The following is a 13,022-nucleotide window of genomic DNA, read 5'->3' as shown; positions in this document are numbered from 1 at the left end:
CTCCACTTGCCGAGTCCTTCTGTCTGCATTAGCAGGCACCAGATCACACCCTGAACATCAGTCCGCAGTCTGACTCACTAGATAAACACTGCTGTTCCAGGAGCAATATTTTGAAGTTGTCTCAGTGAACTTAATTAGTTTTCTTCTACATTATTTCCTCACTAGCTTCTTGTTTTCTCTGATGGAGGATGCTTCTGGGACACCCTTTCTCTCTTTTAAACTAACAGAGAACTAACCTTACACTGTCAGTCCTGTTTTCTGTTGGTTCTCTACTGCAGTGCAGCCCTTCTCCCAAAAACACACCCATCTTTTACCAGGAATCTGACTTCATTTTGGACATAAAAGTAGTACGTTGTTTGCTCTGCACTCTTCCTCCACAAAAGGAGTGAAAAATAGAATTTTCTGTTGCCAGTATTAATAGCACTTTAGAGAAACCAAGCCGTCACTCCTTAGGTTTTATTGTGCTGGCAGTATATTTGTTTTCATAAATTGTTCTTTCTTATTATTTTTTTTTTCACAGCAGCACCATGAACATTCTTCTGGCAGCCTTCACTTAGTCTCTCTGAACCTTAATTTCTTCAACTGTAACATGGGAGTATTACCATCTACCTAAGAATGTTTGGAGAATTAAATGAGATTATGTTTATAAGATAGTACAATGCTTGGCACATAATATGTGCTCAGTAATTATCTTTGACTGTATGCAACCTATTTTTTTTTTCAGTGCAAAGAAATTATTTTTATCTTCCTCTGTATATTCTGTATGCTGTTAGTAGTAAGTGTTAAGGCTGCCTGCTTGTTTTATCTTTTTAAATTTTTTTGAGAGGTGTAGTTGCAGGATCCCCTTGGGTAGAAGTTAGCTGGCCTGTTGCCCAGGCTGGAGTGCAGTGGCACGATCATGGCTCACTGCAGCCTCAACCTTCCCAGGCTCAGGTGATCCTCCCACCTCAGCCTCCCAAGTAGCTGGGACTACAGGTATGCGCCACCACGCCTGGGTAATTTTGGTGTTTTTTGTAGAGATGGGGTTTCACCATGTTGCCCAGGCTGGTCTTGAACTGCTGGGCTCAAGTGATTCCCCTGCCTCGGCCTCCCAAAGTTCTGGGATTACAGGTGTCAGCCACCATGCCTGGCCAACTTGAAATCTTCTGAGGTTAAACTGGCAAATGATTATTACTAAAAAGAATACTCTTAGAGAACAAGGAAAAAATAAGAACGTTTAACTGCTACACTATTGCATCATATAATTGGTTTTTCAAGTAATTCATTTGCTCCACCATGAGAAAAGATTGCAATTAGAGGTTAAACATTTCCATGAATTATAAATGGCAGTGTTACCCGTTTTAACTTCTGGGGCTCAAATTGTGCTAACAATACAAGTGAGGGCAGTCACGTCACAAACTGGGTAGAAGACAATGAAATGAGGAGTATCTTCAAGCTGTCTCCTCTCTCTCTCCCTGCAGTTCCTTTTGAAACAAATACAAAAGCAGAGACAGTCACACTTCCTGATGCTGCTCAGAATGATGACAGAAGTAAGAGAGATGGTTCAGAAACTGGGTTACTGAGCTCATTTCCGGTGAAGGTCCATCCCAGTGCAGTGGAATCAGCACCAGAGAAAAACGCCAGCGGCATCTCTGTTCCTGATGCCCCCATCATACTGAGCCCCCCACAGACCCACACACCAGACACGTACAACCTGGTGTGGAGGGCAGGCAAGGATGGTGGGCTGCCCATCAATGCTTACTTTGTGAAGTATCGAAAGGTAATGTCTTGTCGTTTATCATCTTTCTCGGCTCACACCTGAACGTTCTTTGTATAACATATACTGTTGCCTTTTCATTTGTAGAATGGCAGGAAACAGAACAAGAGTCTTCCAGACTGATGAGTTTGTCAGAGAGATCCCAGTCATGCTGGATTTACCAATCCTAGGAAAGCACTGAGAATGAAGTATAATTTCCCCCCAAATTGGAATTCTAGGAACCCAATGATGTCTTTACATGTGTATTCAAATGTTTTAGCCCTTCAACATAAAGCTCTATAACCACTTTTAAAACACAAATTCCTTCCCTCTCTAAGGTAGTAGAATACCATTTATGTAGCAAATAAAGCAGTTTCTTATTAAAAACAACTGTTTGAACAGAGTTTCTGGCATAATTTATGCCAATTGTTTGCATTTCAAGTTTTTTTTTGTTTGTTTGTTTGTTTTTTTTTTTTTTTTTGAGACAGGGTTTTGCTCTGTTACTCAGGCCACAGTGCAGTGGTGTGATCTCGTCTCACTGCAACTGCTGCCTCCCGGGTTCCAGCAGTTCTCGTGCCTTAGCCTCCCAAGTAGCTGGGATTGCAGGCATGCACTACCACACCTGGCTAATTTTTTTGTATTTTTAGTAGAGATGGGGTTTTGCCATATTAGCCAGACTGGTCTTGAACTCCTGACCTCAAGTGATCCACCACCTAATCCTCCCAAAGTGCTGGGATTACAGGCATGAGCCACTGTGCCCAGCTTCAAGTTGCCTTTTTAATTGTATTAAAGTCATACATTGTTAGGTCATTTTTGGTGGTAAACCTTGGGCCTCTCTCAGTTAACTCTTCAAATATCATTTTCCCCATGGGCTTGTGTTGGAGCAGAATGGAAAAGCTCCTCTCTGTTTAATGAGACCAGTACATGAATGAAATGGGAGGGATGCATTCCATATTTAAAATCATTTTCTTTGTCCAAGAAATTTTAGTATACATTGTTGAATGGTAATGTTTTTAATGACTAGGAAAAATAACATGATGATATTTTAATATGATGATATTTTAAGGTTTATGTACTATTTCCAACCTGATGAATGATTCTAGATAAAGAAGTTTTGCTAGTAATCTCATCTACCCTAATACCTCCATGCAATATTGTTTCTTGGTTCCATTAATCAAGAAACAACTGATTAGATCTTTTTATTTCCTCTAACACATATTGAACAGTGTCAAGACATGAAGCAAGAATGCTGGAAATATACATAATTATATAATTCATATACATATAACATAATATAATATTGTCTTAATTTACCATGTATCTATTATGTGTATTATATAATTACCAATGATACCTATTATTTTATACTTATTTTATTCTTCATTAGCCCAGGAAGAAAGAAGGCATTGTTTCCATTACAAGTAAAGGAAACAGAGTCTGGGAGGGCAGTAACTTGCTTGAGGCCACACATTAGTGGTCAGATGCAGAGCCAGGAGTCTTTCTACAGTGAGAATTGCAGCGTTCTTGCAGCAGATCTTCTATTTCTTAATATGAAGAAGTATTGTGTCTTTTTTACTTACCATGCTGTATTACTTCTTAAAACTCTTCTAGAATTAAATGAATCCTAGTTTTGATCAAATGTGACCGAAAGATTTCCTATCCTCCATCTCCTGCTTTTCTTTTCTGGTGTGTTTTCTCTTGGGCAGCTGGATGATGGGGTTGGCATGCTGGGAAGCTGGCACACGGTTCGAGTCCCAGGAAGTGAAAATGAGCTCCATTTAGCTGAGCTGGAGCCATCTAGTCTTTATGAAGTCTTGATGGTAGCAAGAAGCGCAGCAGGTGAAGGCCAACCTGCCATGCTTACCTTCCGAACCAGCAAAGGTGAGTGAGGGCTTCCTTTGGAGGAATGAGCTGGCTGCCCTGATGTCAATTTATTAGTGAGAATTATTAATTTATTTTTTTTGAGATGGAGTCTTGCTCTGTCACGCAGGCTGGAGTGCAGTAGCACAATCTCAGCTCACTGCAACCTCCGCCTCCCCGGTTCAAGCAGTTCTCCGGCCTCAGCCTCCCGAGTAGCTGTGACTACAGGTGCGTGCCACCATGCCCGGCTAATTTTTTGTATTTTTGGTAGAGACGGGGCTTCACAGTGTTAGCCAGGATGGTCTCGATCTCCTGACCTCGTGATCCGCCCACCTCAGCCTCCCAAAGTGCTGGGATTATAGGCGTGAGCCACTGTGCCCAACCAGAATTCTTTTGGATAGTAGAAATTCCTATATGTAAATTCACTAAACGACCCTATTATAGCCTCCCCCTTCCATTTTGGGGTCACATTTACGTGATTGTATTGTCCTATTCTATAGAATATTCCACAGATGTTTTTGAAAGCTTATGTTATACAAGGCAATGAGGATAGATGATATAGGGAAAATGAAGATGGTCAAAATGAGATCCATCCCGACAGAGCTTATACTTTGATAAGAAAGCTAAGATGTGTAACTTAATACCAACTACAAGACAGTATTCAGTTCAGCTAATATTTATTGAATGCCTTTTACATGTTAGGCAAGAAGCAAAACAGACAAAACTTGTGGCCTTGTAGAGCTTACATTCTAGTTGAGAGAGACTTACACGTAAGTTATAAGTACATTAGAAGGTGTTAACAGAGATATAAGTTAGGGGGTGGATACAGGAAGTATATGGGGTAGGAGTTGTTAACAGTTTAAGCAGGTGGCCAGAAAAGTCCTCAATGAGCGGTCGACATCGGAGCAGAGACATGAAGGAGGGGAAGTAGAAAGCCACGTGTCTCCCTAGAGAAAGAACATTCCCAGCAGAGATGGCAAGTGCCAGGGCCCAAGGTTGGGTGTACATGGTGTTCACTAGGAACACGATGGGGCTGCTGTGATGGGAGCAACGTGGGTGAGGAGGCTGTAGGGGAGAGATCCCAGGGAACAACGGGGTGTCCACATCACACAGCACACCATCCACCTTGGGACGACTTTGATTTTACCTCTGAGTGAGCTGAGAAGAGCTGGAACATTTGAGCTGGCTGGAGTCTGGATAGTGTGGAGGTGGGCAGGATTGTAGGCAAAGAGACCAGAATATGCCAAGTACCACAGGAGATTTCCAAGGACAGTGCTGGGGAAGCACAGAGGAAGGATATTCTTTCTGCAGGGCGGCTTGTGAGGGAAGGCTTGATAAAAAAGATGCCATCGTGGCTTGGCTGTAAATGAACAAAGAGACGTTAGTGGGTAGAGAAGGGAACTGGGTGGAAGAGTATTTTAGTATGGCACTGTAACGAAAAGGAGGTATGAAGATTGAGAAGAAACCAACTAGTGGCTTTTGAAAAAGACCCTTTCATCTAATTACTAAGTCTGGCCAGAAAAATAACGAGTACTTTCTATCTTAAATGTATCTTGAGTTCATTTTCATAATCAGTCATTAGGTGTTCATGGAGTCTGACCTATAAATACTGAGTAATCATGCATTTCAGTTTTTAACAAATCAATTTCACTTTTTGCCTCTTGAAATATTAAAACAATGTGAGGCTTTTCCTTAGAAAACTTAGCAGAAGCTCTTTAATGGTGAGTTTTATAGCTTAGAATTAAGAAATATATACAGTAAAAAGAAAAATGGACTAATAGTTTGAACACTTAGTCATTTGGCTTTTTCACCTATTTTTTTGCATACGTAAAGTTAGAATGAAGAAAGACATTTTAGCTTTATTTTAAAGATACTAGAAAAAAACAAAGTAATTTTTGGTCAGTTCCTCAGATCAGCTAAGTATTTATGAAGTAGGTCTTACATTTAGATGCTGTGTCTGATAAGTTCATAAATTTATAACCACATACCAGGTAAGTTTCACAGTACTCTTTTTTTTCCACTTTACATACATATATGCTTATGTTACTGTATATGTTTATTTACCTTTCTAGAAAAAACAGCGTCATCAAAAAACACCCAGGCATCCTCTCCACCCGTGGGCATCCCTAAGTATCCCGTTGTTTCAGAGGCTGCAAACAACAATTTTGGAGTGGTACTTACAGATTCCTCTAGGCACAGTGGAGGTAAAAAGAAGAATATTTTATTGTTTCTTTACAAATATAACTGACCTGCTTCAGATTTTGGGAGGTGGGGTGGAATAGGGTGTTTGTTTATTTTCATATCTTACCATACAGTTCTTTTAGGTTCTATTTCAACAATTTTAATGTCCTATATTTAAACTTTAGCATCTCAGTATCATGATTAGTACTTAACTTCATTAACTCTGACTCAAAATGTTCTGGTACTAAGTTTTTAGAACTCAAGAAAGGAGTTTTGTGGCTAGGCACTGTGGGAGGCTGAGGTGGGCAGATCACTTGAGACTAGGAGTTTGAGACTAGCCTGGGCAACAGAGGGGGAGACCCTGTCTCTACTAAAAATTCAAAAAAATTAGCTGGGTGTGGTGGCACACACCTGTAGTCTCAGCTACTCAGGAGGCCAAGGTGGGAGGATCGCTTGAGTCTGAGAGGAAGATGTTGTAGTGAGCTGAGATCACACCACCGCACTCCAGCCTGGATGACAGAGTGAGACCTCAAAAAAAAAAAAAAAGAAAAAGGAAGGAGTTTTCTGTTTCTTCTCTGGTAAGAGAAGGACATTTATATTTTGAACTCTGAAAATCTCACTTTTCATGTGTGTGACTCATCAAAATGTATAGTGGTACCTGTGGTAAGTTATTTTACTGAAGGATTACATGTTACTTTTTATTTTTATTTTTTGCTATATCTAGTTAATCTTATGGTTTTTAAAGGTCTTAGCTGTATAATTTTCAAAAGACTTTTTTAGTATTTCAATTTCACACTTATATGAGCACTACACTTATAGCCAGGTGTGCTTTTTGTGATTGTCCTAAAACATCAGGCAGGACATCTAGGGAAGACTTAAAATTTCATTGCTAAGCTCTGAGAATTTTCAGACTTCTCTTCCATATTTTTACAGTTTTCCATGAATTGATGTCAGACAAAAGCAGGTTATAACACTTTGAACTCCCTCCGAAGCACCTCTGTATCTTCAATATCATGAATCTCTTTTACTTGAGTGCTCTTATCTTTGAGGCACGTTTCAGCTACCTTAAGCAGATTACGTATATGAGTATTAATTTCATGTGAATAAAAGTAATGTCTGAAAAAAACCTTACCATTTATTTTATACACCCTCTGGCAGATACTGTATAAAATGCTGGAACAGCAAAGATAAAATAATCCTTGCCTTTAAGAAGTTTACAATATAGGCCTAGCATGGTGGTGCACAGTGGCTCACGCCTGTAATGCTAGTGCTTTGGGAGGCTGAGACAGGAGGATCGCTTGAGTCCAGGAGTTTGAGAACTGCTTGAGCAACGTAGTGAGACCCAGTATCTACAAAAAATTTTAAAAGTAGCCATGTGTGGTGGGGTACACCTGTAGTCCTAGCTACTCAGGAGGCTGAGGCAGGCAGATCTCTTGAGCCCAGGAATTTGAGGCTGCAGTGAGCTATGATTGTTCCACTGCACTCCAGCCTGGGTGACAGAGTGAGATCCTGTTTCTATTTTTTTAAAAAAATTACAGTATAGTGGATGATATAAATACCTAAACCCATTAACAATATGTGGATAATATAGACAAACTGATAACAATTTTGATTGCTTATGCTCGAGATTATACCCTTGGTGTTATGGGTTCACGAGAAATATCTAAGTCAGTCACTCAGTGTAGACAAGGGTGAGTAGATAAGAGAGGCTTCTCTGCATCATAAGCTAAACTTCAAAGGAGAACGACGATACAGACAGATGAAACAGCAAAAGAGTTTCTAGCAAAGACATCTCGACAAGTGGCTGATATGTTCTATTATGTTTAGAGATTGAGAGGTTAGAGATTTTATTTAGTGTGACTGGTTACTGTGGGGAATGCCTTGTGTGATATGCTTCAAAGTTGAATCTTTCCTTGAAAGCTATAGTGAACCCCAAAGGATGTTAGAGAAGGAGAAGGGAGGAATAGCAAAAGAAAAGGCTAGAGAAATAAGGGGAGTGACAGTGTGGATGGAGGAAGGGGAGGACCTGTATGAGAGATTAAGGGAATGGAGTCCACACTGAATGAGAAGGAGAAAGATGATGGATTGGGTGTGGGCACCAGAAGACCATTTACCAAGATAAGTAGTAAGAGTTTTTAGGTGAAGATTATGGATTCAGTTTTGGAAATGATGAGTTTGGAGTTGTCCAAGAAGAAATAACCACAAGAAAAGATTTATTTAATATTCAAAACAACCTAATGAGGAACAGATTTCCACATCTGTTTTACAGATTAGGAAACTGACACATGAGGAGGTTAACCATGCACGATGCCTCAGATCGTCCAGAAAGTGGAGAAACGGCTTGCTACCCAAGTCCGCTTCTAACTCCAGTGCCGTCTTTCTTTTCTACCTTGTTAACAGTCACATGCTATTTCTTTTAGATATGGAAGGTATTATTTTCCGTGCAGACATTTTCCCCAATAACTTTCTTTTTCCTATTTGAACTGTGGTGTTTGGTGAGTTTTGATTTCAGACGAATCAACATAAGGAAGTTGTTTGGTTTTTCTAGTATTAAAAAAGATTCACTAACCATACTATTCATTCTGTTTTCATTGCTTTCTAACTTGAAAGGAATACAGTAAGTATCACTCAGCATTGCCTGCTTTGAATACATTCCTCTTTTATCCCTTAAGCAATTTATTTTTTTTAAATGCTACAGTTTTCTCCATACAAATACCACATTCAACTTTATTTTCTTCTTTCGTATGTATTTGTATGGTGGGTTGAAGACATGTTGAGGTGGAAGGGTGTTGCTCAATTGAGGAGCATGGCATGGGCTAGAGATGGGGCTCCCTAGTGGCTTTCTCAAAGTAACTAGCGTCACCATGGCCCAGAGTTGGCCCTCCACATTCCAGCTCTAGAAACTTGATTGTCAGCATGCCAAAAGATCACTGGTCTCTCAAAAACCGGCTCATGTCTATCCAGTTCACAGATGATCAAGGCAAAGCAGAATGGCAATTACAAATTTGCAATGTCACTGTCATACAGACCGGATTATTTCTGTCAGCATTCTTTCCTTGTAGGAACCAAGTGGGAAGCCAGTTACAACCACAAGATTGCTTGTTGTGTTAGCCTGTTTGTGTTGCTATAAAGGAATACGTGAGGCTGGGTAATTTATAAAGAAAAGAGGTTTATTTGGCTCATGGTTCTAAAGGCTATGCAGGCATGGCACCAGCATCACTTGGCTTCCAGTGAGGCCTCAGGTTACAGTCATGGTGGGAGGTGAAGCGAGAGCAGGCACATCACATGGTGGGAAAGGAAGCAAGAGAGACGCCACATGCTTTTAAATCACCAGCTCTCGTGTGAATCAACAGAGCGAGAACTTGCTTACTACCATGGGGAGGGCACCAGGCCATCATGAGGGAACCACCCCCATGACACAGACACCTCTCACCAGGCCCCACCTCCAACATTGGGGATCACTTTTCAACATGAGATTTGGAGGGAATAAGTATCCAAGCCATATCACTTGGTCATCAAGAAGAGTTAGATACATGGTTTCAATGGCTGATGAGCTTACTCCTCATGTTTTCACCTCCTGCAGAGTCTAGACCATCTACCTGGTGTGTTAGGGCATTCCCTTTCCTTGGCAGTGCTAAGTGAAAACTGCTAGACCCTAGCTCCCTGACCCCCTTTTCTACATGTTCACGTGGATCATGTTTTCTGCTAGCACTTTTGTTTAATGACATATCCTGTCTTCCCGTATTCATCCTGAGCAGCATTCTCTCTCCCCTTTATTAACAGTATTGATTTTATCAGTCAGATTTTATCTCTCTTTGCCACTTATAGTCTGTATTTTGGAGTAACCTTCCTATAGCCTTGAGGTGTATTAAGATAATATGGAATAGTAATAGTATAAGAATTAGTAGATTGCTGAGTGCATTTTGTGTAGCTTGGATAGATGAAGAAAAACATTTAAATAAGATAACACATAATTATGAAGATTTATTATAAATTTTAACCACAATCAAACTTGAAGCACCAAATAATACTTACATTTTATTTCAGCCATGAATCTGAATAGCATGGTCAAAATGATCATACTTGTTAGCTTTCAGTTTTTCAGAGCTAATTATCAAATTTATAGATCATTTTACTTTCTCTTTATTTCCTGTATTCCCATTAGATTTTCACAGAGGACAGGAAGACTGCTGTAAATGTTATAAACTCTGGCAAAAAGTTTGGTGAAGAACCTTTAATAACATGAAGTTTGGGACTTATCCCTTTAATTTAACTATGTTATTCTTGTCTCTGACATGGTGGGTTATTGAAATGAACGTTTCCGTGTTTAGTTCCAGAGGCACCAGATCGGCCTACCATCTCCACTGCATCAGAGACATCAGTCTATGTCACTTGGATTCCTCGGGCAAACGGGGGTTCTCCAATCACTGCCTTCAAAGTCGAATATAAACGGATGAGGACCAGCAATTGGCTGGTGGCAGCTGAAGACATCCCTCCTTCCAAACTTTCAGTGGAAGTTCGTAGTTTAGAACCAGGTAGTAATATTCAAACGTTTCCTTTTACCATCGATGTGAACTTTAGATCCATATATTTATATATTTTGAGACAGGGTCTCACTCTGTTGGCCCAGGCTGGAGTGCAGTGGCATAATCATGGCTTACCTCAGCCTCCCAAGTAGCTGAGACTACAGGCACTCACCACCGTGCCTGGCTAATTTTTGTGTTTTTTGTACAGACAGGGTTTTGCCATGTTGCCCAGGCTGGTCTTGAACTCCTGGGCTCATGCAATTTGCCGCCCTCGGTCTCCTACTAAAGTGCTGGGATTACAGGCGTGAGCCATAGCACCTGGCAGATGCATATTTTTAGTAGTCTTATATTTTTTTTCGAATTGTTAAAGTATTCACGCTTATTGTATAAAAATGTGAAAATAAAGAAAATATAAAGAAGAGAATAAGTCACCTAAAATTCACCCATTCAGAGATAATCATTGTTTATATTTCGTTGTATTTTTTCTTAGCCTTTTTTTTTTTTTTTTTTTTTTTTGAGATGGAGTCTCCCTCTGTCGCCTAGGCCGGAGTGCAGTGGCGAAATCTCGGCTCACTGCAACCTCCACCTCCCATGTTCAAGCGATTCTCCTGCCTCAGCCTCCCGAGTAGCTGGGATTACAGGTGCCTGCCACTACGCCCAGCTAATTTTTGTATTTTTTAGTAGAGATGGGGTTTCACCATGCTAGTCAGGCTGGTCTCAAACTCCTGACCTCAGGTGATCTGCCTGCCTCAGCCTCCCAAAGTGCTGGGATTACAGGCGTGAGCCACCGCAGGATCGTGCCATAAATATTGTTTTATTATCCAATATTCCCCATATTTTATCGTATATGTTTTCCAGTATCATTAAAAATTCTTCACAAACTCAACTTTTAGTAGAGATTTACCTTTCATATAAATAAATATACCATAATCCACTTACCTATTCTTTATTTCTGGGCTTTAGATTATTTCTGTTTATTTACAGTTAGAAATACTGTGGTGTACATCTTTGTGTGTGTGTGTGTGTGTGTGTGTGTGTGTGTGTGTGTGTGTGTTTTGCTGTGACTGAATAAGAGGAAAATTGCTTGTTATTTGACAAAAATTATTTGATCTGATGCTGAATTTCAGCACGGTTGTAATACTCAGTGCTTAGTGTTGTGGACATGAGTCAGTGATGAACACGCGTTTGTTCTTTAAGTTTTGTTTCAGCAGAGGAACCCTCCCCTCCCCACAAGAATCTTGAGGCTATATGAGAGAAATTAAACCATAAAAGACAAAAAGCATAAATAAACTTTCTGTACTTTCATTCGTTTAGGTTTCATGGCAATTTTTTTCAGGACTTTTAAATGTACGTTAGTAGCAAATGCCTGTGGCTGTCAAAACAAGCAACATGCGCAGCATAGGATCATGTAGGTATAGTTGGGAGAAGCATCAGTTTTAAATGTGGTTGAAGCTAAGAAACATTCCATAGATTGAAAACACTGTCTTCAGAAGCTCAGTAATTATTTTTGAGCTATCAGGAAACTTGCTTTAGGATTTTAATTTATTCTTTAGGTTCCGATTTTCAGAAATTCACAGTCCTCTACATTTTTTAAAGTTCCTAATATCTAATTCAAACAATTCCTTCCACAGTAGTTAAATCTGCTCCCTCTTACTCTTACACTGTTAGCAGTGAAACCAGAGTGACATCTGCGGCCGCCCACACAGTGCCTCTTTATGAGTGTATTCACCGTATTAAACCGTGCTTCAGTTGTTTCTTTTAAAGTGAAAAGAACCTAGTTTTGGGGACAGATAGTTCAACTAATACTGTCATTGATGGGTATGACTTAGAACAGGATGGTGAAAAGAGCAAATGTCCTCTTTCCTATTCTCTACCTGCTTCTTCCCTGAGATGTCATTAATCTTTTGCAGTGCTCTTTCTTGGTGACTCCTAAGAAGGTCTTGGGATCTTGAACACCATGCACGGAGCAGCCACTCCCAGTTGATTGAGATTGTCAATTGGGTTGAAATCTATTTACCATACAGGCTTTAGATACTTTAGTATAGATAGGTACTTCAGCACAATTGCCATATTTTGACTATTCTGCCTTTAGTTGTCTTATTATAGCTTTTCTTAGTTATGTTTTTGTTGTTGTTGTTTGTTTGTTTTTGTTTTCCCTCAAAGGTTCAACATACAAATTTAGGGTCATTGCCATCAACCATTATGGTGAGAGTTTTCGGAGTTCAGCATCTCGTCCTTATCAAGTGGTTGGGTTCCCCAATCGCTTTTCCAGCCGTCCAATAACTGGACCTCACATTGCATACACAGAGGCTGTCAGCGATACTCAGATCATGCTAAAGTGGACGGTCAGTACACATCTTCTGGAATGAGATTTTGTGGTTTGGTCATGTTAACAATCAATTTAATATTCTCATGACACAATACAGTAAACAGCAAATTTTGAACTTTTAATTGAGGGGAAGTGCAAGGGCACCAATATTTGTCTAAATAAGAGCACATATTTTGAGGAGGGGCAGGGTTAAAAGGAAAATTATTGTTTCCTCGGCTCTTATCCAAATGTTGTTAACTTAATTGCCATCATGATTCATTTTGAACCAAATGTGCTTTTATGCTTTTGAACCCAGGGAAACGTACTGCCTTATTTCTGTTTAACCTCGCAATAAGCTAAATGCTTTTAATACCTTTGAAGTAAATTAAAAATGGCCATTATTAGTATGTTT

General features: G+C 39.9%; 1 protein-coding gene across 14 annotated transcripts in view; it reads left to right on the top strand.

Annotated features, from left to right (window-relative positions):
- The window catches only part of CDON (cell adhesion associated, oncogene regulated), a 106,515-nt gene that overhangs the window by 55,818 nt on the left and 37,675 nt on the right, over nt 1-13,022 (top strand). For 13 of the 14 annotated variants that reach the window (XM_017017873.2, NM_001441166.1, NM_016952.6 and 10 more), the window contains exons 9-13: nt 1,461-1,759; nt 3,442-3,616; nt 5,668-5,799; nt 10,108-10,311; nt 12,466-12,647. In XM_017017873.2, the coding sequence (XP_016873362.1) occupies nt 1,461-1,759; nt 3,442-3,616; nt 5,668-5,799; nt 10,108-10,311; nt 12,466-12,647 (992 nt within the window). Of the gene's footprint in view, nt 1-1,460; nt 1,760-3,441; nt 3,617-5,667; nt 5,800-8,386; nt 8,394-10,107; nt 10,312-12,465; nt 12,648-13,022 lie in introns of those variants that run through there. The other variant, XM_047427065.1, reaches the window with a different exon arrangement.

The sequence above is a fragment of the Homo sapiens genome, chromosome 11, assembly GCF_000001405.40.
Source record: "Homo sapiens chromosome 11, GRCh38.p14 Primary Assembly".
NCBI lineage: Eukaryota > Metazoa > Chordata > Mammalia > Primates > Hominidae > Homo > Homo sapiens.
This window is presented reverse-complemented; position numbering and strand designations above follow the sequence as displayed.